The following is a 27,838-nucleotide window of genomic DNA, read 5'->3' on the forward strand; positions in this document are numbered from 1 at the left end:
TTGTAGCAGATGTAGCTCCGCTCTTAAAGAAACAGCCTTTGCATTCTTTCCATGTGACTTACAAGTGAGATTTAAGGCGGAGGGGAATATATATATATCTATAGATATATATATGTATGTATATTACATATTGCATATTTTATCTTGCTGTAGTGTTGTGCATTTACGGCTTCCTACCTCCATTTATGCAAGGCGAACCCAGGGCACTGGTCACCACAGGCGTTACATGGCTGGCCTCGCTCTATCCGCCCCAGTCCGGTCAACTTCAAAACAAAAAGACAACACACGCATGTCTCCACCACGGGGTCTCCCTCCACAGCCCCACTCGTGTCCCTGGCAGGATGGCCTGCCCCTCCCACCCCACCTCCTGTGATTTGAGCCAACTGCTCCTCTTCTGTATGGGGGACACGGGGCGGGGCACTGCCAGTGCCCCAGGGGTGGTCTCCCGCCTGCTTGGGGAAGGGTGCGCGGACCCAGGCAGGTTGCCTCCGGCATGGGCACTACACCACCACGAAATGACCACGGCTGGGGCTTTGTCTCCCCCAGACACCTTGGTCACGGGTTTCTAAGAAACAAAAGCAAGACCCTTCAGTTCCCTGGAGTCCGCAAGAAGCGAGCATCGGGCGCCCGCCCTAGACCGGGCTGGTGCTCCCGGAAAGGGGGCAGCAGAGGACACCCCAAAAGACGGCCCTAAAGTCCCCGCTAGAGCTCCAAGTGGCTGGACGCTGGAGCTTTGGTGCTGGGATTCCGATTTGCCCGGAGGGAGGGGGCTTTCCAGGGATCCCCCAGACTGTGACCCTGAGGGCCACGGTTCGGGTCTCACTGTCGCCCAGCCGGGGGGTCGGAACTTAACCCCTCCCGCGCCTTGGAGCGCTCTCTCGCGCCCTGGACGCGCCCCGCCCGCGGGGCCGGCTTACCTGGGGCCACAGGTGCGCAGCCGCGGGGCGCAGTGGGGCTGCGCGCGGGCGCTCGCGGCCGGCTGGAGGTGCCCGGCGATCGGCCCCGCTCGAGCGGGGGACACTCACCGAGCGGCTGGAGAGTCTTTTCCGGGAGCTCCGGCTGAACATGGCCGGACGCCTCCTGCTCGCAGCGCCGTCCGTCGGTCCGTCCGCGCCGCGGCCGGGAGGGCGGGTAGCCTGGGCGGGCACCCTCGGCGGCCGCTGGCCTGGCTGTCTCCGCCTTGCAGTCCCCGGCTCGCTCCGGAGCGCACGCCTACCCCTCCTCCCTTCCCTCTGCCTCTCCCTCCACGCCCGCAGGTCCCTCCCTCTCTCCCGGCATCCCCCCGCCCTCCCGGGTTCGCCCCGCGGTCCACCGGCTCTTCCCATCCCTCCCCCGCACCCGGCTGGGGCCACTTTCTCCCTTTCCCTGGCTTCTAGGCCCACTGGGCACAACTCCCGGCGCTTACCTGGTCCCGCCCCTGAAGGCTCGTCCCTCACCCTTGTCCCCAGCCTAGGGGCAGGGACCGTTTCACACCCCCCTGCCGCTGTAGCTGGGGTAGGGGAGTGGAGATGGAAGGATGAGGGTTGAGTTTGTTTAAGGTATAATCCACATACAGTAAATTCACCCTTTCTTAGTGCACAGTTCTGCCAGTTTTGACAAATTCGTACAGACCTGTAACCACCACCACAATCAAGCTATAGAACGGCGCTCTCACCCCCGAAAATGGATTATTTTAAAAGTTTGTACCATGCCTAGAATCTAGTGTTCATTAGGTGTTGGGAGAGGAAGAGAAAGTGGAGGAGGAGGAGGAATTATGCCCCTATGTAATTGTACAATGCCTGGAATATAGTAGATGCTCATTAAGTAAGTGTTGATTCATTGCATTCAAGCTTTGAAGCCATTGCGCCTTTAGTGCCTTTTTTCCCATTACCTTTTCCATCACTTCCTAGTTGGTGATCTCCCCAAATTAACCTCTTTGTGCCTCTGTCTCCTTATCGATAATAATTTTTTTAAATGATGTAACAAGAGTCCTTATCTCACACCATTGTTGAGAGAGCTGAGTTGGGGCATGTTTAGTTATTATAACAGGCACAAACTCAGGCTCATTAAAGATTAGCTGTCATGGCCTGGCATGGCTCACGCCTGTAATCCCAACACTTTCAGAGGGGGAGGCAGGACAATCTCTTGAGGCCAGGAGCTCCAGACCAGCTTGGGCAATCTGACTAGACCCATCTCTATAAAAAGTAAAAAATTAGCCAGTCATGGTGGTGTGCACTTGTAGTCCTAGCTGCTTGGTAAGCTGAGGCAGGAGGATCGCTGAAGCTCAGGACTTTGAAGTTACAGTAAGCTATGATGGCCCCACTGCACTCCAGCCTGGGTGTTAGAGCAAGACCCTGTTTTTATAAAATAAATAAAAATAAAGATTAGCTGTCAAACGTAGTAAGTCTGAGAGGTTCAGGCCACATGCCGGCTTATCATTGATGTTTCTACTCAAATACCACCTTCCCTGAGAGAACTTTCCTCGCCCCCGCTGTAACATCTCTCGTACTAATATGATCTCGCACACACTAATATAATGTGTAGCATCCATTGAAGTGATCTTGTTTGCTTATTTATTTGTCCTCACCCAAACTCAAGTTGCACAACAGAAAGGACATTGTCTTCTTGGTCTCAGTTGCCCTAGAGCCTGTAGCAATGCTTGCCTCTAGTAGGTTCTCTATAAATATTTCTTGAAAGAAGACGTTCTTCCCATTGTCAAAAAAGATAACTGTCCAAACTTAGTGTTTTACAGATGAGACACTGAACTTTGATGAAGAAAAGGTGTTTGCCTGGAGTGGCACAGCAAATGAGTGGCAAGGCCAAACCACCTACACCCCAAATTCAAAAGAATAGGGGGCCACAACTCAGACACACCCAGTGTATCAGTGTCAGCTGATTGTCCTCATGCCTAGACAGTAAAGTTTGGTTTGGTTTCTGGGCCGGAATTAGGGTGAGGCAAAGAAGGCCTTTACTTTAGGAGCAAAATGTACTGGGATGCTAAGAAACTCAGTAACCAAGATAAACCATGTTTTTATTCAATATTCTAAAGAATCAAAGTTAACAGCAAAAAAAACTCCATGATGAACAGAATATCATTTTAAACAAAGACAGGATTCTACCCCATGCTTATATAACCCTGCCTCACTCACCTTATCTTAGTCCTGGCCCTGGTAAAAATGTTCCAAAAACTCAGGGACATTAAGGATAGACTTCCTTATATTGCTTTATCTAAGTTACTCACCACCAACTATCACCATTAGATGATATACCCCCAGAGGGTAAATGCCCCGGCTTTTCTATCTCTTCATTAGCCCAGGCTTAGCACAGCATCTGGCTCATTTCAGATGCTCAACAAACATTTGTTAAATAACTAAATCTAAGGCAGTAGATTAGGCAGGGGGAGGGGGAGGGGATGTTAGCAATCACAGCCCCAGGTTACAGTCAGTACCAGGGCTGGATGCTCACCTGGCTTTCTCAGCAGGGCACCACACACCCAGCTCTGTACTGCACGTGGCCTTGTATCCGGAGGAAAATGCCAGGAGGTTAGGGAAGTGCTCATATTGTGATTGTGGATATCGCCTATTAGTATTTTAATTATGAAAATTTTTAGCAAAGGTCAGTAACAAAATTAGTGCATTACAAGTTTCCAACAGATGGAGGGTGAATATCTTGAGGAAGTGTTGCCTTATTCAAATTCCCTCAAAGGAGCTACAAGAGCTAGGAGCAGGTGTCTTGCCTCAGATATGGCTGGTGGAGGGTGCAATGATAACAACATCATTGGGAGCATGTGTGGAGTGTTTCTGGCCTTTAACTTTTATTGTGTGGTCAAAGAGGAGATGCCAAGAAGATGTGAGTGGACTTTAAATGTTGTATGAATAAGCCAGGTGCATGTGGCCCAATCCCAACCCACAAACAGTGCTCCAAGGGTTTCTCCTGATGCTTGCCATAAAAAGAACCCCCTCCTAAGCCCAGTCCCCACTGCTCTATTTCCTCTGAGTTTGAACCAGTATTCTATGGGCTTATTTACCCCTGAGGTTCATGTATGAGAGGTAGTATCTTCCTTATCTATTGAACAACCACTTTATCTTGCTTAGAAAGACAAAGTTTAGTAACCCAGGAAGGAAAAAAACATTCTTGCTGTCAGCTGCAAGTGAATAGTAGACAGTTTTCTTTTGCTTTATCACTGCATTTGCTGTTCATAGGCATCTTTGATGTATGTTTTTTCTTCATCTCTCAAGGCAATACAGTTACTAAAGGAACTTGAAGAGATCCTCATACATAATTGTCAACACGGGAAGACGCCTTTGCTATAATGTAAGGTGGAAAAACAAAACCCGAATAGACTGTCTGCCTGTAATTGCTCCTAAAATATGCATCAAGAAACTGGAAAGAAATACACAACACGTTAAAATGTATTGATCGTGAAATTATAAGGTTTTGTTTCCTTTCTGCCTCCTAAATCTGTTTCCTATAATGAACCTCTGTTCATTTCATAACCAGAAATGTAAAAGTATTTATCTAAATTGAGAATTGTGCCCTTGTTGTCGGAGGTCTTCTTACATCAAATCTGGATCAGCTGCAGCGAGAAGCTCTGTGTCTCCCCTTCTTTTGACCTATATATAGGTTCCTATCTTGTGTAGTTTGGCTTTTCTATTTTTTTTTTTTTTTTTTTTTTGTATAAATCTGTGACTTTTAAGCCAGGCAAAGCTTCTGGCCCACTGTGCTCACATACCTGCGGGAAACCTCAGCAATGTGTCCAAAAAGTACTTTCTAAACTAGGAAAGAACACAGTAGCTCAGAGCAGCTTCACACATGTGCACACTTATTTCCGTGACCTACCAGAAACAACTCTGAATGTGGCAAAAGGGGTAAAATCTCCCTGAATAGTAGCCAACACTTAGCAGCTCTATCAAAGCGTCCTCTGAGTCAGAAGTCTACAAATGGTAATTTTAAAAAGAGTATTTAAAGCCATGGTGATGGGGGAGTTCAGGATGACTGGAAAGGTGGTTTTTTTTCTTAGTGGTGGGTTTATAGAGGGGCTTTCCTCCTCCCTCCCAATGAGCACTCTTCTGTAGTCTATACATTTTCTTGTCTAGGCATGAATCAGACATATGTCATCAGAAAGAATTAAATCAGGAGATAACTGGAATAAAGAGAGCAGTGCAGGTGGGCTGTTTCACAGGATTTAAATAATCTTAAATGTATAAGTATATCCTAATATACTTAAAGCAAAAATATCTGAAAAGATATAAAGTACTACACTAAACAGCATATACATTTCTCTTTGAAAAGTCTTGGAATTGTGTGGTGCCATGGGCTCAGCTTATCCTGAAAAGCAAATTACAAAGCAAAAGGAAAACTGTAGTTTGAGGGACAGTCACGACAGTGTTGTTTCTAAGACGAAAAGAAAAATCACATGTAAATACCTAACATTAAAGGATCCATTAAGTAAAAATAAATAATGGTACATCCTTCCAATGGCATTCTGCCCAGATGTTAAAAATGATGTAGGATATGAGAAAATTTTTTAAAACCAGACTACAAAATAACAATATGAATTTACATTTGCAAAAGATTTGGGGTACCTCTTATACTTTCAAAGATACACACATATTTGGAAAAAAGAAGTCCAGCGACTATAACAAAAAATGTTACTGGTTAGGATTGTTTTAGGGATTGAATTTCAAGTGATTTAATAGTTTCTCTTTTGCTTATCTAATTTTTTAAAACAGAATGTGTTTTCCTTTTATAATAATTAAAAGTGAAAATATAAAATAATTACTTGACTTTTAGAAGCTCTTGAAGACTAAGAGTTATCTATAGATGATAAAATATAGGGGGCTTTTGTTACTTTTTCTTATCTATATATTCTTAATTTCTACAGGAAGCAAGTATTGTTTTGAATTAAGAAACACTTTGAAACTGGAAATATAAATGGGTTTCAAATATTCATAATTATCATGTACAACAAATACTAGTTTTCTTTAGAAAGAAAAAATTTCAAATTTTATTTCCTCACAATTTTCTAGAGTTGTTTTCCCCATGAACATATGTGTCTTTTGTAATAATAAAAAAAAGTATATTTTTGGTGCAGCTCTTCTATCACTCCCTTTAACAACCAGGGATTTGAGGACTTTTGAGTACTGTGCTCCCTGTTTTCCCAATACTCCTAAACAAGCACAAATATGCAAAGTTGACTTTTTGATAATCCCTTTCACTTGTGTCCCAGGCCACTGTTTGCAGAATACATTCAAAAGTATTATATTGGGACTCCAAGACTCACAGTGAGGTCAGAAAAGGAAACAAACACTCGCTGAAGCTGTGTGACTTCCCCGACACGTATGCTGGTAAGAGAAGGGGGTTTCAGGAGGAACGAAAACTAGGTTTGTTGTCCCAAGTTTTCATGATCCCTTCCCGTCTTTGGGGATAGCTTTCTGTTAAGATGTTCTCCCTCTCTCACACAGACACACATGCAAACACACACAAGACTGCCCTGCTGTGCACCTTCTGGGTGCACCCAGTGCCCCTTCACACAAAAATGCATTTGAAGGACCAGCATGGGTCTGAGGTAACAGCATATTTTGGGGGAGGTGGGTGGACTTTCTCTTGCTGTTTTCCCCTTGACTGCATTTGTTTCCCCATAATCCCCAACCACTCTCTCCAGCTCACCTGGCAAAGCTGCTCCTTTCCCTGAGCTCTCCTCCAGCCTTTGTATCATTTTTCTGCATTGACTGAGTTTGTCATAGCTTCCATTAATTGAATAGAAACCATGAAAAGGGGAGGAGAGGCAGTTTCCAAACACACTATTTCCCCTATTTCACTAGTCTATACTTGAGCGTCATCAAGAAACCAAGGTTATTGGTTTGCCACACAGAGCTCATTTTTCTCCTCAATTCTAACTCAAAAATAAATTCTCTCTCTCTCTCTGACACACACACACACAGACACACACACACACACACACACACACACACAGAGAGAGAGAGAGACATTTAATGGCCTCTGTCTCACTGAGATTCAGAATTACTGAGTGGTTCCCAAACTTTCTGTGCTATACTGTCCAATAGTAGAATTTTGGAGAGTTCAGTTGAAGGGATTAAAAGACTCAAAACAAGACCAAACAGGTCAGTAATAAGGACAAAGCAATTGCAACTATAACGTAGGACTGGTTGTCCTTTTCACTTGGCCTTTATCGCTAAGCCTCTTTAGAACAACGTCTCTCAAATTTGGCAGCATGGCAGGAATGACTTGGGAACTTTAACAAAACTCTAATGCCCAGGCCACACCCCAGGCCAATTAAATCAGAATTTCAGGGGTACAGCCCAGCCATCAGCATTTTAAGAACTCCCCATGTGATTCCAGGCTGCAGTTGTGTGGCAGAACTGTGGACTGCATGACCTTTTAGGCAAAGGCTTTTCACAGCCAGGTTCTTTGGCTGAGATGTGAATCTGCTATGCTTTCTTCTTCTTACCAGAAGCTGTGCCCAGCTTGACACCCACTGGAATGACCTCATCAACAGTAACAGTTTATAACATGTATCTAAAGAGGGTGGGCCTGGGGTTCCGAAGGGCTTTGTGTTTGCTATGCCTGGGTGCAGGCAGCCGAGTGTGGAGCACTTAGGACAGGGCTAAACCCAGCTGTCTTGTAAAGGAATAAAAGAATGGGCAAGGGCTAAGGAGGGTGACAGAGGAGAATCACCTTATTGGCTGTGCAGACAGGGATTCGGGGGAGAGATGTGTCCAATGGGGATTGCTCAAACAAAACGTTGTTCAGTGCCTGAGCTGGCCCCACCGCAGGATGTAAGGAATCTTCTGTAAAACCATATTATTTTCAGATGCTTGACGTGCCTAGATCTTAGGGAACCCTGGAAGAGAGCTGAGCTTTGTGTTGAGGCTGGCAAAGGGCCATGTCTGAGCTGGCTTCTGGTAACAAGAAGGAAGTCTACACCTGGGCTTCAAGAGTGTAAAGTCAATTACAACAAATTAATTATGCTCATTGGTCAGAATGTGTTGGAGCACTTGTGCTGGGCTCGTGGCACCCTGTAGAGATCCACTGGACTGAGGCCTGGTTAATGCTACAGAAAGGGCTGGCTTCTGTACTCAAATGAACATCATTCGACAGCTTCTGATCACAGAGGACAACCAAACTGACAATGTTAATGAAATTATTAAAAAGTCTCCAGTTCCAAAAAATGGCATGGATTTCACTTCTCACATTTACCCTAGCTTCCCAACAGACAAACAGGTTGCTTTAGAGTCCCAGAGCTAAGTGATTATTTCGGTTGAGACAGAGTTTTCATATTTTGGGAACAATTTGATCAAATGGTCTGATTTGTCAAGGTTTCAACCAATTGGCCTGTCTTACCTGCAATTTCCATGAAGCATTTCTTTTTCTTTCCTATCAGCCCCCTGAAAACCAAACCTGACATAATATCTTGATAAGGCCCCTTCCTGATTCTTTCCATCTGGGAAAGTTGTCTCATTTGTCTAGCCCAGCAGTTCTTAACCCTGGCTACACACTAGAATAATCTGGGGAGTTATTTTCTTTAACATGTCATGTCTGGTCCCATCCTAATCAATTAAATCAGTATTCCTGGGACCAGACAATGGCTAGTTTTTTTAAAGCTCTCCAGGTGAATTTAAAGTCTAGTCAGGATTGAAAGCCTTGAATCTATCTCTTTTCCCATGATTTCTTTACTCATCCTCCTAGGTTTTCCTTCTCTGTGCTCATGCTACATTATCCTCATCCTACTTTTGTACCTGCCATCTCACTATGCAAAGTAGACAGTATATCTCTTTTGCACAGATAACAGGAGAAGGAGACAGATCAGGACAGGACCTTTAATTCTTTGCTTCTCAAAGGTGATGTCAGAGACCAGCAGCCATGAAATTATCTGCAAGCTCATTCAAATTGCATAATCCTAGTAACTCAGAATCTGCATTTAAACAAAACCCCTAAGCAATATGAATGCACACTGGAGTTTAAGAAGCACTGTTCCAATTAACCCATAACACATCCCCCTTAAAGGACCATCCTACAGCCCCTCTGTGATTTGCCAGAGTGGAACTATGTGGTTCAAACCCTCAGTCTCCCCAGGTACTGGCTCTGTATGAAGCCCTATTTTAAATGCTTCTACAGACAACCATTCATTTTAACCTTGCTACAGCTCTGTGGGACTGGCTTACTATTATTCTTAACTGGAATAAAACAAGGTTCAGAGAAGTGAAGTGACTTGTCCAAGCTAGTGACGGATTCAGGATTTTAATACAGGTTCCATTTGATTCCAAAGTTGGTTCTCTTTACAATAAAACAGATGTCACCGTGCTTCATCCAGAAACAGGTGAGCACAGAGTAGGTGAGACAGCTGGTGCAATCCTAGCTCTTCTTGCTTTGGACTGAAACTTGCAAGACCCTTTCTCTGCTGCTGCCTGAAACTTGCAAGACCCTTACTCTGCTGCTAGCAATGAAAGAGAGACCAGTTGTCCTGCTCCAGCAGCAAGTCAATATCTCACCTTGAAAATGACTAAAAAAAAAAAAAAAGTGGTGTTCTCATCACCACTGAGAACTCCCCCAAGAGAACACAGTCTGTTTGGCCTCTTGGTAGGACCCTTCTGGATATGTAGTTCATTTCCTCTTCAGCAGAAAATTTGGTCTCTTGAGTATTAAAACGTATGCTTTTCTTTTGTGTTCTCTTTTTGCAAGCCAAAAATCATCCAACCAGACAACCCTTTCTCTGTCATGTATGGGACATGTACAATTTTTAAATAGTTGTTAAAAAAAAAATTGGAACTTCAGTTTAAATGGACTAAAACTTCCTACGTAGCGTGCAACTGGGGTCAGTATGGCCAAGATGTTAAGTGCCCGTGAAGTCACCTCTTTTGTCTTTTAAAAGGATAATCAATGCCATAGACTAGGTTGAAAACTAGATCCAAGCAGAGGCCCCTCACATTCCTTGGGCATGTAAAATGGACAAGTAGTAGACTGAATTGTCATTTCTTCATAAAAGTGGTTGCCAGGATTTGGGTCTGTATGAGTCAGAGCAGCCTAGCTACTCCAACGAACAGCAAGTCTCACAGGCCTATCAAAAGAGCTGTTTCCTGCTTTTGCTCACATCATAATCTGATGCAAGTGAGGCAGGGGAGGGGGCGAGAGGAGGGGAAGAGTGAGTGGGAAGGTAGTGCTCTGCTCCGCCCAGACATTCAGGCTGATAATTCTTCTGAGGGCTGCATCTGCCATCTTCCAGAACTGCAATGTCCAATATGGCAGTGATGTCATATGTGACCATTTATATTTAAATGAATCAAAAGTAAAAATTCACTTTCTCTGTTGCATTAGCCATATTTCCAGTTCTCAAAAGCCACATGTGACTAGATTCTACTATACTAGATGCACAGAATAGAAGATTTCCATAATTCCAGAAAATTCTATTTGACCACTTCCTCTAAATTTCAGAGTGCTCCACCGGATTGTCTGAATCCGACCTGCAGACAAGAAAAGAGAAGGTAAAGAGTCAGTGAGGACTGGTGGACGTATTTTCCCCAGATTTCATTGGCACAAGCTTGAGACATGGCCTCCTTTACTGCAAGAGAACCGGAAAGCATCATCTAGCTTTGCGCCTAAGAAGAGGAGAAGCACGGACATGCATGAGCCCTTGGGCATCCCTGTCCCAGTGGCCTTATCAGAATTGCAATACTATCTCACACTGCATTCCTTGTATTCCTAGGAGAACTGGCCAGGCTTCTAAAGAACATAACCTTACTTTGGATTAGGCCTCAGAGATGTTAACTCTTGCTGTCGGTAAGGGTTGACTCAGATGCAGAAACTCAGACAATAGTTAACCACTTCACTTGAAAGAGAAAGCCTCATATGACATTCATCTCATCAATGGCAAAGTGTATGAAAAAGTGATTCTGTTTTTATATTCTAAATCAGGAGTTGGCAAATTTTTCTGTACAGGTTCGGATAGGAGCTATTTAAGGCTTTGTGGATCATACAGTCTTTATCACAACAACTCAACTCCACAATTGTAGTACAAAAGTGCCATAGATGAAGGAGAGTGACAGTGTTTCAATAAAGCTTTGTTTACAAAAGCAGGCAGTAGGTCCAGTTTGGTCTAGCATAGTTTGCTGGCTCCTGCTCTAAGTCTTCACCAGGTCCTCTTCACTTCCTAGCAGACTCACCTTTCTCTTCTTCCTGTCCCCTCCAAAAAAGAATGGTAAAAAGAAGAATGGAAATGTTGGTATATGTAGAGAGCCAACATTTTGCAGTGCTAAGCACTTTACTCAAGTTAATTTAATTCTCACAACACCTTGAGTAAGATTTTTATGGTTGCCCATTTACAGATGAGGAAGCTGACACACAGAGAAATTAAGTCATCAGGTTTAGCTCATGAAGAGACTAAAATTCTAAGTGTGATGGCATAATTCACTATAAGTCACTGGTGCATGAAGCAGTATTGTTTAATATCCCCCAACATGGTAATCAGGGAAGAACTTAGCCATAGACATTATCAGAGGGAGGGAACTAGAGTAGGGCATGGGGAAAAAAAATACATACCTGAGTTGGTAGTTGATGGGATTTGTTTGTGAACACCTATGACACATGTTAGGGGTGGGGAGATGGCAAGAAGAATGAGGAGCAAATGTGTAAACCATGTAGGGGTCTGTGGTCTTGCAATGGCAGATGGGGAAGTCATTATTGTGATGAACACAAGGCTTATTAATGTGCAACAGTGCCCAATTTTAACCCTTTCCTGTCATTTTCAATAAAGGGAATTTTGTCTTTGATATCTGCTTCTCCTTTCCCCAGTTTCTGGCTTAAAAAAATGCAAAATCAGGATGTTGGGCAAAAAGAAACAGGCCCAGGTAGAACGGAAGAAAGGAGGAAAGATTTTTGTTAGACATTTCATGGGCTCTCCTTTGTTGTGAAAAGTCTGGGTAATGGGCAAGGCAGAGAGAGGGATGAAGGCAGTCAGACAGGCAAAATCAACCTAAATACTGTATTGCTGAGAGAGAACAGAGGTCAAAGACAGAGAGCTTGAAAAGGCAAGTGGGCTGCTCTTGGAGATGTTTGGGTTTGGGGTGGTGAATGAGAAGCTTTGGTATAATTGAGAAAATCAAGAAAGAAAGAGAAAAGGATTTTGAGAAATGCTACCATGGGTTATCAGTTGGGCCCCTTATAACGTTCTCTGGGTATTGCAGGTAAAGTTTCCATTGTAATTATTTTCGCTTTGGAAGATGTGGCTCTACGCAGAGATTGGACTACATGGGGCCTTGCGATTTATTTGGGTTACACTAACAAAATGTCTCCATTTTTTGCTCCCTGAATTGGAGGAATCTAGAGTATATGAAAAAAAAAAAAAGAATTACAATAGGCACAGCAGTCCGAGAATGGAAAAGCCTAGCTCTTGAGGAAGAGAATTTTCCATCTCTGCAAGTGTTCAAGTAATCACCTATTGTGACATTGAGGAGGGAATGCAGGAGCTGTAGGGAAGTGGGTTCCTCAACCTGGCTGAGCATCAAAAGAATCACAGCTTTCACAACCCACAGCCCCAGGCCCCTTCTATTTCTGTCATGTTGTGGAGCACTGACCTTTTACAAAAGCTCTCCAGGGGATTCAGAGCTTTGGGAACCAATGATGCCAAGAGCTGGGCAACGTGATCTCTACTGCTGCTTCCAAGCCTGACAGCATTATCCTCCACGAACCTCTCCTTTGTAAAAGCATAACATCATAGGAGTATTTAGCCAAAGCACATTCTGTTAAAAGGGAAGTGTGCTTAAAGGATCTCTCAAATAAGTAAAGAGAAATAGAAGGAACAAAGTCACTGTGAAGTTACATCCTGCTTCTTTTTGGGTCTCCTTGGATGATATTTTAGACACATTAAACTAGTCCACTGATTTATTTATTTTAAGGGCTTTTTTTTTTCCAGGGCTTTGGGGCTCCACGCTTTCTCTGCATTCACTCCTAAAACTCCTTTAATGAGAAAATAGTGCCAGGTGGAAAAACAAAAATAGAGAAGAGGTTCTCAGACCAGTCACAAAAATTATTCTAGAATCCAGGTAATTGTGGTTGAGAGCTGTATCTGGAAAACGGTGAGTAAATTACACTTTTGTAAATGCAGCCATATGTGGAAAGCTGTGAGGCAGCTCCTTATGAAAAAGGCTAAGTTAGAGGAAACTTTCTATAAACCGAGTGGATATCAAGATTTTTATCTTTAAGGTTTTCCCCTGAATTGCAAAAGTAATATGTCTATTTTAGAAAATATGGGACACACACTTAGAAAAACAGAAAAAAAAACTTAAAGTACACATAATTCCATCACTGCAAGAAAACAATTTTAAATATTTTGGGGTATAGCCTTCCAGATGAACACATATATACACACATATATACCTATAAATATGTACATGTAATAAACCTTTTTCAAAAAATTGGGATCCAACTATACCTATTTCTTTGCAACCTGCTTTTTCCCCCCACTTCATCTGTCATGATTATTTTCTCACACCACAAATACTTTTCCACAGCAGTTTCCAAAGGCTGCATAAAATTCTATCCCATTAAACCCCATTGTTGGACATTGAGGTTGTTTCTAATTTTTGACATGATAAATAATGCTTCTCATCTGCATCAGTATTATTTTAGATGAAGACACACGCGGATATACCCAGCGATGCCAAATAAAACAGTGCCATTGCTAAATGTGATCTCATGTTTTATGCATTCTAAAATATTGAAGCTGTGGTTTGGGAACTGGTTAACTGTGGCTCCAGTGTGCGAATATACCACTTCTTCTGGGGCTGAGCTGCGGCCAGCCAGGTCACCTAGGGGGGTGGGGGTCAGGAGATAAGCACCTCCCCTCAGGTGCTCCAATTCCTTGGGCTCAGAAAATCTCTCTCTGTCCTTCCAATAATAATATTCAAGGGAAAGAAATGAGGGAAAAAATTTGATGGCTTCTGTTTCAGGTTGAATTATGCCACCCCCACCCCTCCCCCCGCAAATTCATATGCTCAAGTCCTAATCCCTGATATCTCAGAACGTGACTGTATCTGGAAATAGAATCTTTAAAGGGGTAAGTAAGATAAACATAGGTCATTCAGGTGGCTCCTTACCTAATATAGCTGGTGTTCTTATAAGAAAAGATCAGGACACAGACACACAAATACACACACACACACACACAGGGAAGACCATATGAAGACACAGGGAGAAGACAGTCAACTGCAAGCCAGGGGGAGAGGCCTCAGAAGAAACCAGCCTTGATCTTGGACTTCCAGCCTGCAGAATTAGGAGAAAATAAATGTCTGTTTTTTAAACCACCCAGTCTGTGGTACTTGGTTATGACAGCCCTAGCAAACTAAGACAGCTTCCTAACACATCTTCAGAGAAATGTTTCAGGTAAGTCAGAGTCCTAAGAGCAGGCAGCTGGAGAGTTAGAGTCAGAGAGAAGGGACTTGAAATGGAGGGTCTAGGACTCAGGAGTCACCTGATCTTCAGCATGCCCCTGCATGCTGAAATTTTTGGCTACGTATTACATATTGGCTACATAGTCAATACAGCTAATATGTGGCCAAAAATTTTAGCATCCCTGCCTCAGCATCCTCATCTTTATAGTAGAGACCAAACTCTTGTGATAAATAACACCCACTGTATTAGTCCGTTTTCAAGCTGCTGATAAAGAGATACCTGAGACTGGGAAGAAAAAGAGGTTTAATGGACTCACAGTTCCACATATCTGCGGAGGCCTCACAATCACGGCAGAAAGGCCAAAGGCACTTTGTACATGATGTTGGCAAGAGACAATGAGAGCCAAGCCACAGCAGAAGCCCCTTATAAAAACATCAGATCTCATGAGACTTATTCACTATCATGAGAATAATACGTGAGAAACTGCCCCCATGATTCGATTATCTCCCACCAAGTCCCTCCCATAACATGTGGGGATTATGGGAGCTACAATTCAAGATGAGATTTGGGTGGGGACACAGTGAAACCATATCACCCACCTTTTGGAGGATTCTGAGGATGCCAGACGTGAAAAGTGCCTGGCACAGTGCTTGGTATGTAGGAGGCATGGGATGAACTGTGTTAGCCAGTGGCCTGCACAAGCTTATCTTCACCCTGTCAAATAAAGTGAGTCTTAATTAACCATATAATATGTAAAAAGATAATTACACATTTGGAACTTTTGCTTTAAGGCAGATTCACTTTGTTTAGCCCACACAGTGCTTCTTAAAAACACTTCAAATTAGTTGCCAATATTTTAACAACAGGAGATTCTACACAAATTCTGGATTTCTGGCTATTTGAAAAATCAACAGATCTGGAAGCCCTAGGCCACCATTCTCTGGCTCACTGTGGTTCCTGGGCAAGGGATGTAGCTGTGTCACCTGCTGGCCCATGCAGCATTGAATCTGTAACCTAGACCCTAATGTATAAACTGATTTTTATAAATAAAAATACATACATGCATACACACGGAGAATAAATGTATGTGTGTGTATGTGTGTGTGTGTATGTATTCCTTAAGTCCCATGTCTCTTTGCTTCATTATTTCAACATCTTTTCTTTTTAAAAAAATTCACTTTGATTCCAGATTCATGACTTTGGTGTCTGATTCAACAAAACTGGTCTAAAAGCCCTATTGCACCATACACCCTAGAAATGTGGATGAAACTACAATTCCCCTAGTTTAACCTCTCATTTTACTCATGAGGCAATACGGCTAATACGTGGCTAAAAATTTTAGCCTTGAAAGGGGCCTCAGAAATTAGCTAGTCTTTGTAAAACCCTCGTTGTTGCTAGAAACCTCAGAGATTTAGGAAACCTTTTTGTTATTTGATTTGATTTTTACAAAAACAAAAAACAAACAAACAAACAAAAAAACCCAGGACCAAAAACAAAAAACAAAGGAATTCAAACATTTAATTAGTCATGTTAATTTGTTTTCCTTTCCCTCCAAGCAATCTCCAGGCATTACTAAAATGCTCCCAGGTATTTCCTAAAACAGGTTTACCTCCACCCAGCCCTGTGAACCTCAGCGTTGTCTTGTATCAGTTGCTAGGTAACTGAGGAAGATTTATGCACATCTATTGTTAATTTTAAAGACAATTTTCAGCTCTGCCATAAACATCAGTAGAAGCAGACACCACACTTGCACTGAGACATTCCTCTAGCCTTCCCTGAGATGGGGCATTCCAGGGCATGTCTACAAAATCCAAAATATTCTGGTTTTTTTTTTAAAAAAAAAAAAAAGGAAAATGCTGGTAAATTCCCAGCTGTCTGCAAAAACAGTTCAGCAAATTTGAGACATTTGGGCCCATCTCCAGTACCCTCTTGTGCCAAATCTATTATAAGTTTTATTCAAAGAGTATCATCTGCCCTCCCAGTTTGCCTGCATTTAATTGTGCATTTCAAGTTTGCCCAAAATTTAATATTGTGCTTCTCTCCCCCATTCTTTCCAGCAGCACCAAAATTTAGTCTTCTGTATCCCAGAAGCATCTGCAAAATTATTTCTCAACCCAGTGGTTTCATTACTTTTTAAAGGGTTCTTGTTAAGCCCAACAACCATTTATACTGGTTTTGACCAAATGTATGGATTTTGTTGCCACTGTTTGGGTAAGTGATGGGAGGGACCCAGTTTATATGATGGGCACCCAAACCAATGTTTTATAGAGTGATCATAATTATAATGACCCTTGGCTTGTGGGAAGCAGTTCATGTCTTACTACAAGCTTCCCGGGGCATTCCATCATCAGATTCTCACCACAACCCCGTAAGAAGCATGTTTCGTGGCATCGTCATTCTAGCTTAGATGACTTCCTGACTTCAACACTGCTAGCTGGTGGTCTGGCCTTGCCTCCTCCTAACTCATCCTCTATACAGTCTCCAGAGAGGTCGTTCCAAATGGAAACCCAAACATGCCAGTCTCCTACTTAAAATCAGCCTGATGTTTCATGGTTCACATTTGCAACATGGAAGAGAAGGGCCTCTGTGATCTAGCCCCTGTCTAACTCTTCAGCCTTATCTCCCGTCACTCTTCCCTCACATTTTTTATCCCGGCTGTGCTGCCTTTTATATAGTTCCCTGCACACCATGCTGTCTTCTTGTCCCTGGGTCTTTGTTCATATGGCTTCCTCTGCCAGAGATACCCCACCATGTAATTATTACACTAATGCCCAATACCAAAGCATTCTCTGACCCCATCTCTGTCTCACACCTGAAGAGTTAGATGCACTCTCCTGTGCTTCCAGAATACTCAACGCATATCTCATCAGTGCATCTATGGAATTACTTTATAATTATCTGTTCATCTGTCTGTCTTCTTCTAAACCTAAAACTAAGTGTTTGAGTATTTTCCCAGGGAGTGCTTATACCATCTTCTTCCTCTGAGTATCTCCCAAGCCTAGCACAGTGCCCAGCACATCATGAGCATTAGTTGGTGGCAGGAAGGGAGTAAAAGGGAAAGGGAGGGAGATCATAAGAGGGAGGCCAATAGCACCATTGGCCTGATTCCACAGATAAAGCAGCCCAGCCTCCAAGAAATTCAATGACCCAGGCAACACAATTAGCAAGTGGAATAGCCAGCATTTGAATGGGAGAAAGATCCTTAGAAATAAGTGAACACAGGCCGGGCGTGATGGCTCACGCCTGTACTCCCATCACTTTGGGAGGCCTAGGCAGGCGGATCACGAGGTCAAGAGATCGAAAATATCCTGACCAACATGCTGAAACCCTGTCTCTGCTAAAAATACACACACAAAAAAATTAGCTGGGTGTGGTGGCATGTGCCTGTAATCCCAGCTACTCAGGAGGCTGAGGCAGGAGAATCACTTGAACTCGGGAAGTAGAGGTTGCAGAGAGCCGAGATAGCACCACTGCACTTCAGCCTGGCGACAGAGCAAGACTTTGTCCCCCCCCCAAAAAAAAAAGAAAGAAGTGAATACATCCTTTCATACAGCGGAGAGAGCTTCTGTTTGCATACCTGCAGGGATGGGCTGATCACTGCCTCTCCAGGCAGCCATTTTCATGGATGGTCAGCTAGGCTATGAAACAGTTCATTCTCTGGAGGTGCCAAAGCCAGTTTCCCAGTGATTCGCATCAGCCCGGTTTCACTTTTGTCTTCTGCTGTTAGACATTTCCTCTTGTCAGAGCAGAAACCTCAGACTTCATATTCTGTGGATAAATCACCCTCGAATTGCTCCCCCCTTCCTCAATCACCGCCAAAAAATGCAAAAATAACCAGATTCTTAGCCTAAACACAAGCACTTTCCATGTACTATCTAATCCAAACATCCCAAAAACACAAGTTTAAAAACATGCTGGAGATCACACAGCTAAAAAGTCACAAATCAAGCCTAGACCCCAAGGGGTCTAACTCCAAGTTCATGGACTTAACCACCTCACAATATTCTTGCCTGTCTGAGCCCTTTAGCTATTCAGCAGTGAAAAGCTAAGCAGATTAAAAGCACATAATTCTCTCTCTCTTTCCCTCTCTCTCTCTCTTCCTCCCCTCCCCCTCTTCCTCCCTCTAATACTGGGTTTATGAAGACCTAGCAGACCTCTCTCCTCTGAGGATTATTTTTCAAAATGAGTTTCTTTCTCATCCCCCCTCTCATCCCAAGCCCCATCAGAGGAAGAAAGATCGCTGGGCTGCTGGCTGTGCACATACTGTGTTATTCATGGGGTACGCACCAGGATGGGCCAGCTCATTAGGTTCAAAGCCTCAAATTAATTTTACATTACTGTCCCCAGAGGTGAAAGGTCATTTTTTATCTTCTTAGCCTTATCCACCACCCGGGATGAAATTGGATCTTTAGGAAGGAGGGGACCCTGCTCCCTATTGTACCAGCTGTTGATGCTTCTCTTCTTTGTTGTGAGTGAAATCGCACACACAGAGCTGAGATTTAAAACACACACACACACACACACACACACACACACACACAAACAAAAAAAACACCAGAGGTGGTTTTTGTTGTTGTTGTTTTGAGGCAGGGTCTCACTCTGTTGCCCAGGCTGGTGTGTAGTGGCATAATTATAGCTCACTGCAGCCTCATACTCCTGGGCTCAAGTGATCCTCCCACCTCAGCCTCCTGAACAGCTGGGACTAGAGGTGTGCACCACCACACCTGGCTAACTTTCAAACTTTTTGCAGGGATGGGGTCTCGCTATACTGCCCAGGCTGGTCTTAAACTCCTAGCCTCAAGCAATCCTGTTGTTTCTGCCTCCCAAAGTGTTGAGATTACACACTGAGCCATTGCATCTGGCTGGCGTTGTTAAGTAGGAACATTTTGTAAATTACGGAGCAGAGTAATGATTGAGAGGCTGGTACTGAGTGTGTTGAGAAAGCTAGAGACTGAAACGGACTGCTATTGCCAGGGTGAAGCTGATGCAAACTAGAAGGTGGGAGGCCCTCTTAAATCCTTCAATTTTGCCTTCTCCCTCTGGTGCCTCCTAGTGGCAGAACCAAATGTGGCACCAGCTGGTCGGGAGAAATGGCAGCCCCAACCACTGCATCACAAAACAGTGGTTCGTGGGCCCTGGGGTGAGGGACAACAGCTTAATAATTGGTACTTGCAATCATGTCTATATCAAAGATGTGTTTTAATAACAATTAGGCTGGTTCATGGAGGCTCTGGTGGGTTTGGAGTGGCCCACGTTCATGGGACGTTCCAAGCATGGTCCCAATAACCTCCCAAATGATGAGAGGAGCCACCCCCCAACAGAGAGAGGCTTGGTTTCCAGGTTGGGCTGCCCCAGTTAGACTGAGCTGGATCAAAATTGCAGGGTAGCCCTGGCTGGATCAAAATTGCATTGACGAGGGGAAGAAAGCAGCATTGAACCCTGCCTGCTTGTATTCACAGTAGCTATTGTCTCACCCACAATGGTGTAATCAGAGTGAACACACTGACCAGTGTTTGCTTTCCCCCTCCCCAGCCTTCTCCCAACATTTTCTCCCAGCTCGATGAAGAGGTTTGGCATTCAAAGGATGGGGATGGTGTGTAGTACCGCAAGAGTGATGGGCAATCCCTGGGGAGTAGAGGAAACAGAATCTTCTCTTCATAGCTCCAAGAGCTTCTACACGATGGATGCCCTGCCGAAGGATGAGTTGCCATGCAGCTTTGGAAGACAATACTGTCAGAAAGAGGCAGAATCTTGCCCTTTCCCAAAGCAATGCCCATCAAAAATGCCCCATGAATATCTTGGAGCCAAGTGGCATTCCTTAAAGACAGCAGCTGCCAAACAGCAGGAAAAAGGTCAAGGTAGAAAGGTGGGATTTGGGGGAAGAAAGCAAAATAGAGCCTCTGCAGTTTTAAAAATCAGCTTAATTTCCAATGATATTCACCAGGAAGCTTAATAGACTTAATAGACCCTATAAAGCAGGGCAAAGGGGTTCCATTTATTACACATCATGCTTTCAATTCAGGACTGTTCTTTCTCAAGAACAGAGACTTGGTGGGGCACCCACACCACTAGAGATTAAAGCCCCAGAGTACAACTGAAGACCAGAGCTGGCAAAGAAAGGACTGCTCTAAATCAGGACCCAGCAACCATTCTGCCCACAACTTTTCTGAGTTGAACTGGCCTTGCAGAGGAGGGCAGTGAGTTACCAAATAGCAGCTTGCCAGCCGAACAAGCCCACCTTATCCATTCTGGCCTGGAAAGGGAGAGAAGTTAGAGGTTAGGTCTTTTTGATTTTGGTGGAACACCAATGGCTATGTATTGGGCATCCCTAGCTGGCCAGCTGGTAACTGGTTCTTAGATCTGGTTGAGCTCTGCCCTATAAGGTTCGGTACAGATGTGAAAAGGCTGGTTCCTGGCTTAACATCGGACACAGGTACCCGCAGCCCCTTCAAGGATGATGCAATGAGAACCTGTCATTTTGACTTCTCAACATTCTTTATACCGTCTTCCGGTAAGAGCACCACAAATTCCTGTGGGGAGCCATCTCTTCTTCACTTTCAGCCCTATAACTAAGTGTGGTGCATTGAAATGGATTTTAGGATTTTTATTGAAACCGTCAGGAAGAAAAGAAATCTCTTTTGGTGGCAATGGAAATAGTTTATGCATCAGTCAACTATGGCCACAACAATGCTATATAAAGAGCCCTCATATAGCTCAGCCCCACGTATCAGAAAGTGTTTATTATCATGCTAACAATTTCTCAGATTAGCTGGCATGCCTCTGCTTCCAGCTGCAAGCCTGCATTCAAGTGAAGCAGCTTCTCTCTAAATGTCTTTTTTTTTTTAAAGAGGCTACCTGCAGCATATCCTCATGGTAATTCTACAAGCACAAGAGAAAGCATATGGAAACAGGCAGTTCCTCTTAACACCTAGGCTCAGAACTGGCACGCTGTCATTTACAACCACATTTCTTTGGCCAAAATAGAGTACATGGCTACACCCAACATCAGTGAGATGGCAAATGCACTCTACTGGTGGAAGAGACTACAAAGTCACTGGCAAAAGGCAGGCATGCAGGATGGGTGAGGAGTTGGGAAAAATCACGCATTCACCCCCACAGTGTAAGCTGCCTTTGCTGGTGGCCATTTTGCTATGGGATGGGAAAAGTCTCCCTGAATGAAGCCAACAGGAAGGAAAGTAGAGGCAAGAGATGGAGACTGAGACTTGATAATATTGTTCAAGTCCTTGAATCCTGCTATGTTCTGACTTTTCAATTAAATAATTAAGTCTGTTTCAACTGGTGTCTGTGATTTGCTACAAAAAGACACCTCACCCAACTGTATCAGTCAGCAAACAAGGAAGGTCTAGAGTGTCAAGTCTGAGAGCCGTGGCAGGATTTGAAGGGAAGGCAAGATAGAGCAGCGCGTCCTGCAGGAAGAGCCTAGAAAGGTGGCCAGAGGCAACTGTACGTGGGTTATGGAATGTGGCTGTGCAGGGTGCCCTTGGAAAGCCAGCTGACATGAAGGAAATATGGAAAAGACACTGCATCATTTGAATATTCCGGATCAAAGGAATATAGGGGATCTTGTTTCTCCAGCATCTAATAGATACAAACAACACCAGTGTAGTCCACACTGACATGGCCCATATTGCATAACCCCAAAGTCAGAGCAAAAGTTCTGGAAAAGTGTCAAAGGACTTCTAGGAACATAAGTACTAGAATAAGTCCTTGATCTTGGGATTATTAAAAAAAGAACCAGAGGCTGGGCACTGTGGCTCACAGCTGTAATCCCAGCACTTTGGGAGGCCGAGATGGGTGGATCACTAGAGGTCAGGAGTTTGAGACCACCCTGGCCAATGTAGAGAAACACTGTCTCTATTAAAAATTAAAAAAAAAAAAAATTAGCTGGGCAAGGTGGCACATGCCTGTAGTCCCAGCTACGCAGGAGGCTGAGGCAGGAGAACTGCTTGAACCTGGGTGGTGGAGGTTACAGTGAGCCAACTCTGTGCCACTGCACTCCAGCCTCGGTGACAGAGCAAGACTCTTCCTCAAAAAGAAAAGAACCAGAGTTGGGTGTGGTTGGCTTATTCCTGTAAAACCAGCATTTTGGGAGGCCGAGGAAGGAGGATCACTTGAGCTCAGGAGTTCAAGACCAGCCTGGGAACATAGAAAGACCTCGTCTCTACAAAATGACATATTAAAAAAATTAAGCTTGGCATGGTTGTGTGCACCTATAGTCCTAGCTACTCAGGTGCCTGAGTTGCGAGAATGGCTTGAGCCTATGAGTTGGAGTCTGCAGTGAGATATGATAGTACCACTGCACTCTAGAATGAGAACTTGTCTCTAAATAAATAAATAAAAATAAGGAACCAAAGATTTCAGGGGAGCCGAGGAGACTTTTGGCTTAAGAGGAAGAATCTCTAGGACTCAAACATTTGAGGAGGCTTAGCAGCAACATTCACTACAGCCATTACCACGTATTAAGAACAAGCCATGTGCCAAGCACCAGCCTAAAGATTTGTCATATATTAAAGCATCCAATCCTGCCAATAAACCATAGAAGTAGGTATTTTATGTCCATTTTACAAATGAGAAAAATGAAGTCCGGGAGGTTTCAGACATCTAAGGGCCCTGAGCTGAACCTCTGTCCCGCCCCAAAGCTCTTGCAGTTAACACCAGGCTAGGAGCCTCCCTAATGGATGATTCTTTGTTCTGTCTGACCCTAGAGCTTGGCAGGGACCTTTTAATTAGTACTTCCTTCCTTTGCCCTTTTAATAGCCTTCCGTTCTTTGAAATTTGGGCCCAGCATCAGACTGGAGAGAAAAATATCCTCTCTGTCAAAAACTTTTCTACAGTCTCATTGTAGAGAGCAGTTGTGGCTTCCCCTGCCTGGCACCCAGTCTCCCTTTTTCTGGTAAGAGCAGCCAAGTTTCCTTTGAAAAATCACTTCCCCCAACCTTCAGTCTAGGTGACGGATGTGGGGCTGACCCTGCAGAGCTGATTCTATACCCCTGCTTCTCACCCCAGGGGTAGGCATCTGGGCCATAGTTGCTGATTAGTGCAGTCCATGACCTCAGACAGGCACAGTGTGGTGGGGTGGGGCTGTGTGTCCTCAGGGGCTCACCTTATTTCTGTGCCTCAGTCTCTTCACATGGGCATGTGGCGTGCCAGTCCAATGGGAATCTTTGCTAGGATTTTGTTGGGACTACTGAGAAAGTGGTTCTCTCTTTTCCTCTCTCTGGTGGGGGTGGTGTGCTATGGGATATGGGGTTGGACCTCTTAGTAGAAGGAAGATCTGATGAGTCCAGAGACAGATTTTTCTCAGCATTGTGTGAAGGCCTGGGCCTGGCTGTGGCTGTGGTCACCACTCCCCTGGGCTTTCCAGTAGCATGCACCAGTCATTCCCTTTTGTGGGAAGATCAGGGTTTTGTTTTTGTTTTTGTTTTTGAGACGGAGTCTCGCACTGTCGGCTGGGCTGGAGTGCAGTGGCGTGAACTCGGCTCACTGCAACCTCTGCCTCCCAGGAAGCAATTCTCCTTGCCTCAGCCTCCCAGTAGCTGGGATTGCAGGTGCCTGCCACCACTCCTGGCTATTTTTTTTTTTTTTTTTTAGTAGAGATGGGATTTCACTATGCTGGCCAGGCGGGTCTCGAATTCCTAACCTCGTGATCTGCCTGCCTTGGCCTCCCAAAGTGCAGGGATTATAGGCGTGAGCCACCGTGCTCCGTCGAAGATCAGTTTTAAATGGGGTCAGGACAGGGGTGGGGCAGCAGAGTAAAACGAGTGAGAATTGTTTGAATATCTTCAGACTTTAGCATCTTCTGGCTTTTCTCTCCTCTTTTAACTCATGAGACACATAATTAGTAAACTAGGACATGGGAAGAGAAAAGGACAAACCTTTATGGTGTAATTTTCTTCCTCTTTCTCTTCCTTTCATGCATCATGCAAAAGAACACAGCCACTGTGGTACTATACACACCTGGGCATGAAGCTCAGCTCAGCCACTCCCCAATTATAAAAACATGGACAGATGGACAATTTTTGTAAACCCCTGGGTCCCTGGGAAATAATAATATTAGCTTCAGTCTTATAAAATGGACATTTTTATAGATCAAAAAAGTTGTTGAATATTGACAATTTCACATCACCCTAACAGGGCCCACCGTATATAATTTTGTCAGCATTAAATGAGATGGTACACAGGCAGTTCTGATCATAATGCCTGGCCACAAGGTAATGACCAGTAAATATTAATTGCTAGTGCTACTACTAGGATGACAACAACCATGACTGCTAAGAAGTCAAAGCACAAACCAAAGGGAACAGAAAGAGCAGCCAGAGGCTTTCAGTGGTGGATTTTGGACTTGATTGCCAAATCTGCTTGTTTCCCCTCAAATCTTGCCCTTCAGGTGTTTTTTGTTGTTATTGTCTCCCCCAAGACGGGAAGCCAAAAGTTCATAAAGGTAAAACAGGAAACTCCACACCTCAGTGGCTCTATTATTTCTCCTACAAAGATGCTCTGGGATCCCCGGGTTGTCTAGAGTTCTGATGACTGGGAAAGAGGAAGATGGCAGGGAAGGAAGAAGGGATGATATTAGAATTGCCACGCATAGCTGGGCGCAGTGGCTCATGCCTGTAATCCCAGCACTTTGGGAGGCCGAGGTCGGCGGATCATGAGGTCAATAGATCGAGACCATCTGGCCAACATGGTGAAACTCCGTCTTTACTAAAAATACAAAAATTAGCTGGGCGTGATGGCGCATGCCTGTAGTCCCAGCTACTTGGGAGGCTGAGGCAGGAGAATCCCTTGAACCTGGGAGTGAGCCGAGATCACGCCACTGCACTCCAGCCTGGCAATAGAGTGAGACTCCATCTCAAAAAAAAAAAAAAAAAAAAGCCATGCATATTTTTAAACATCTTGATGTCAATAAAACAGTTTCCAAATCAGGGACAACTGGGGCACTTGTTTTGATCATGGGTTTCTCACCCACCAGCCAGGTATTTTGGTTAAAACAGAAGAGCATGTATTTTCTGAAAGGCAGCAATTAGATGAGTAGTTTATTCTCCTCATTTCCCAAAGCTTCAAGGTGTTATTCCTGAGTTATTCTAGCTATTCCTCTCTGCTTGGGGCCTTTGGAAATGTTCTTCCCTGAACCCAAACATTCTCCCCTCTTTTCTTCACCTGGTTCACCCCTGCAAAGGGCTGAGCTCCAATATGACTTTATGATAACTTTTCAGACACTCCACATCCATCAACCCTTCTGTTACGTGCACTTATATCACTTGGCAATTTTTCTTCACAGCATGTATCACATTTGCAGTCTTATTGTTCTGTGTGAACTGTTTGTGGAACATCCATTGTCCCCCACTGGACTCCAAGCTCCAGGATGGCAGGTACTGACTGGATCTACTTTATTTTCCACTGTCCCCAGGACATAGCCTGATGAATACCATATGGTTAATACTCAAAAAATATATTATATATATGAATCCATCATTCAGTCATTCATAATAATTAAGTGAAAGCATTCATCAGTGATAGAAGCTTGTACCAAATCTTCCCCACTGGGGATGAGTATTTGAATTGGGGTATAGAAGGGATGGCATCAAGGATGTCACCTGGTTCACCCTATAAGGGGGAACAAAAGGAAGGAAAAATCTTTTGACTCTGAAAGTAGTCCAACTCATTGTGAAGTCTGGAAAAGGTGACTGAAAGATATACCAGCATTTTATTAAAAATCCTGCACATGCAAATATCGACTACCGAACTTCAGACACGACCAACAGCCCAGAATTAATGAGACATGTTGGTGATTAGTTTGAAGTGAACAACAGTAATACAGAATGGAAGGAATTCCAGTTAGAATTAAATGGGGGAAGGGACACTTACCCTGTTACCGTGAGATGGCACTCCTGATCACAGATCCTTAGCTGGTGGCAGTGCTGGTGTTTACAGCCAGGTTTTCCAGAGTCATTGTGGTTTGTGAAAAGGAATAATCACAGCAGATCTAGGGAGAGAACACTTTGTTTGGGTTACACTTGTCAATCAAGTGGTAATTTATCTGTTGTACATTACTATCTCCCCTGCTAGACAGGGAACTTAACGTAAGAAACTGGGCCTTATTTTATCTCTCAATTTTATCCAGAATAAATGCCTTTGCATAAACAAATGAATGATTATTATTATTGGTATATAGCCTCTGTCACAAAAACAAACTATAATCAAAATTCCCAGATCAAGATAATTCTCACTCCATAAAATATGCATTAACAAGAAATATTTATTGAATACCTACAATGTACCAGGCAGTATATTACACATCGAGGGGCACACAGGGACTATGTCCTCAAAGAGTTTAATTGCTTGGTTAGGAAGTATCTAGTGAAAGTCCCTCTGGATCCATGCAACAGAAACTCACTCAATTTAACTCAAGTAAGGAAAACAAACAAAGAAAAAGGATGTGGAATCCAAGAAATAGAAAACATAGGCACTAGAACTAGAAAACCAAAGTAGAGGCCACTTCACTGGCTCACTCAGGCTTGTCTGTCCACTTTCTTACCTTGCACTTGACCCAAGATGGCGGCCAGTCCTAATACTACACCATGATCTCAAAGATCAAGTGCTCACCATAACTGATTTACCATGGCTGGGGAAGTTATAGGGGTGGATATCATGTGATTTGCTGCCTACTTACCTGGGCTAAATGCAGGTTGCCGCTAGAAGACATGGCAAATGATGGCTGGCATTGCAAATACAGGCAAAAAACATACACATACATGAAAAAATAGCAGAGGAAGAGGCAAACTGCAGAGGGCATAGAAGTCCCTGGAAAGGAAGAAATAATGATAGGTTTGGTGAGTAAGAAAGATGGCAAAAGAAAATACAATGGGGTGAAGGAGTTGGTTCCAAATTCCAAAATTCAATAATAAGGAAGAGTTTGAAACCTTCTCTCACATGAGTCCTGGCTGTCATTGTTCTAATTACTAGAATGTCCCAGATGGTTTTGTTAGCAAACCAAAATCCCTCAACTGCTTGAAGGTGATATTTCAGAAAGGTCTTTTAAAATTATCTCAATAGTACCATTGACTCCCATGACCTGTGACTCTGGACAAGAAATGTCTTGCCTTCTGTGATATTTGCACATTTATTGCTAAAAGCTACTGGGAGTCTCTAGCCTGCTTCTCCCCATTCTACTCTGAATATTTCCTCTTGTTTGTTGTAAAATACAATTAAACATGTGGCAGTATAGGGTGGAATCGAGAGTGCAAGCTGCAGAGTCAAGAAGCCTGTAGAGTTCGACCTTTGAGTTGTCACTTCCTGCTTAGAGACATTGGCCGTGTTTCCTATCCTCTCTGAGCCTCAGTTTTCTCATGTGAGGATAATAAGAGTGCCAACCTCAAATAGTGCTCTGTGAGGATAAAGTGGAAAATGTATGGAAAGCACGCAGTATAAT

The 27,838-nt window shown here is 43.8% G+C and overlaps 2 long non-coding RNA genes across 9 annotated transcripts in view; one reads left to right on the forward strand and one right to left on the reverse strand.

The window, feature by feature from the left end:
• The first annotated feature begins 951 nt into the window (after positions 1–951).
• Positions 952–11,765, forward strand: PRICKLE2-DT (PRICKLE2 divergent transcript). Of its 2 annotated transcripts, none has more exons than NR_183712.1 (4): positions 952–1,102; positions 4,218–4,391; positions 6,209–6,326; positions 10,432–11,765. It is a non-coding gene; the product is annotated as a PRICKLE2 divergent transcript (long non-coding RNA). The 2 variants fall into 2 exon arrangements; NR_183714.1 differs by having other exon boundaries at positions 4,218–4,293.
• LOC105377123 (uncharacterized) overlaps positions 9,225–27,838 on the reverse strand; it is a 40,740-nt gene continuing 22,126 nt past the window's right edge. For 2 of the 7 annotated variants that reach the window (XR_001740731.2, XR_940909.3), the window contains 6 exons: positions 27,080–27,210; positions 26,275–26,392; positions 17,963–18,153; positions 14,985–15,099; positions 12,570–12,688; positions 9,225–10,460 (listed from right to left, as the gene is read on the reverse strand). This is a non-coding gene — a long non-coding RNA (uncharacterized LOC105377123). The remainder of the gene's footprint in view (positions 10,461–12,569; positions 12,689–14,984; positions 15,100–17,962; positions 18,154–26,274; positions 26,393–27,079; positions 27,211–27,838) is intronic. The other 5 variants (XR_007095943.1, XR_940913.3, XR_007095944.1 and 2 more) reach the window with 5 other exon arrangements.

This window comes from Homo sapiens, chromosome 3, assembly GCF_000001405.40.
Source record: "Homo sapiens chromosome 3, GRCh38.p14 Primary Assembly".
NCBI lineage: Eukaryota > Metazoa > Chordata > Mammalia > Primates > Hominidae > Homo > Homo sapiens.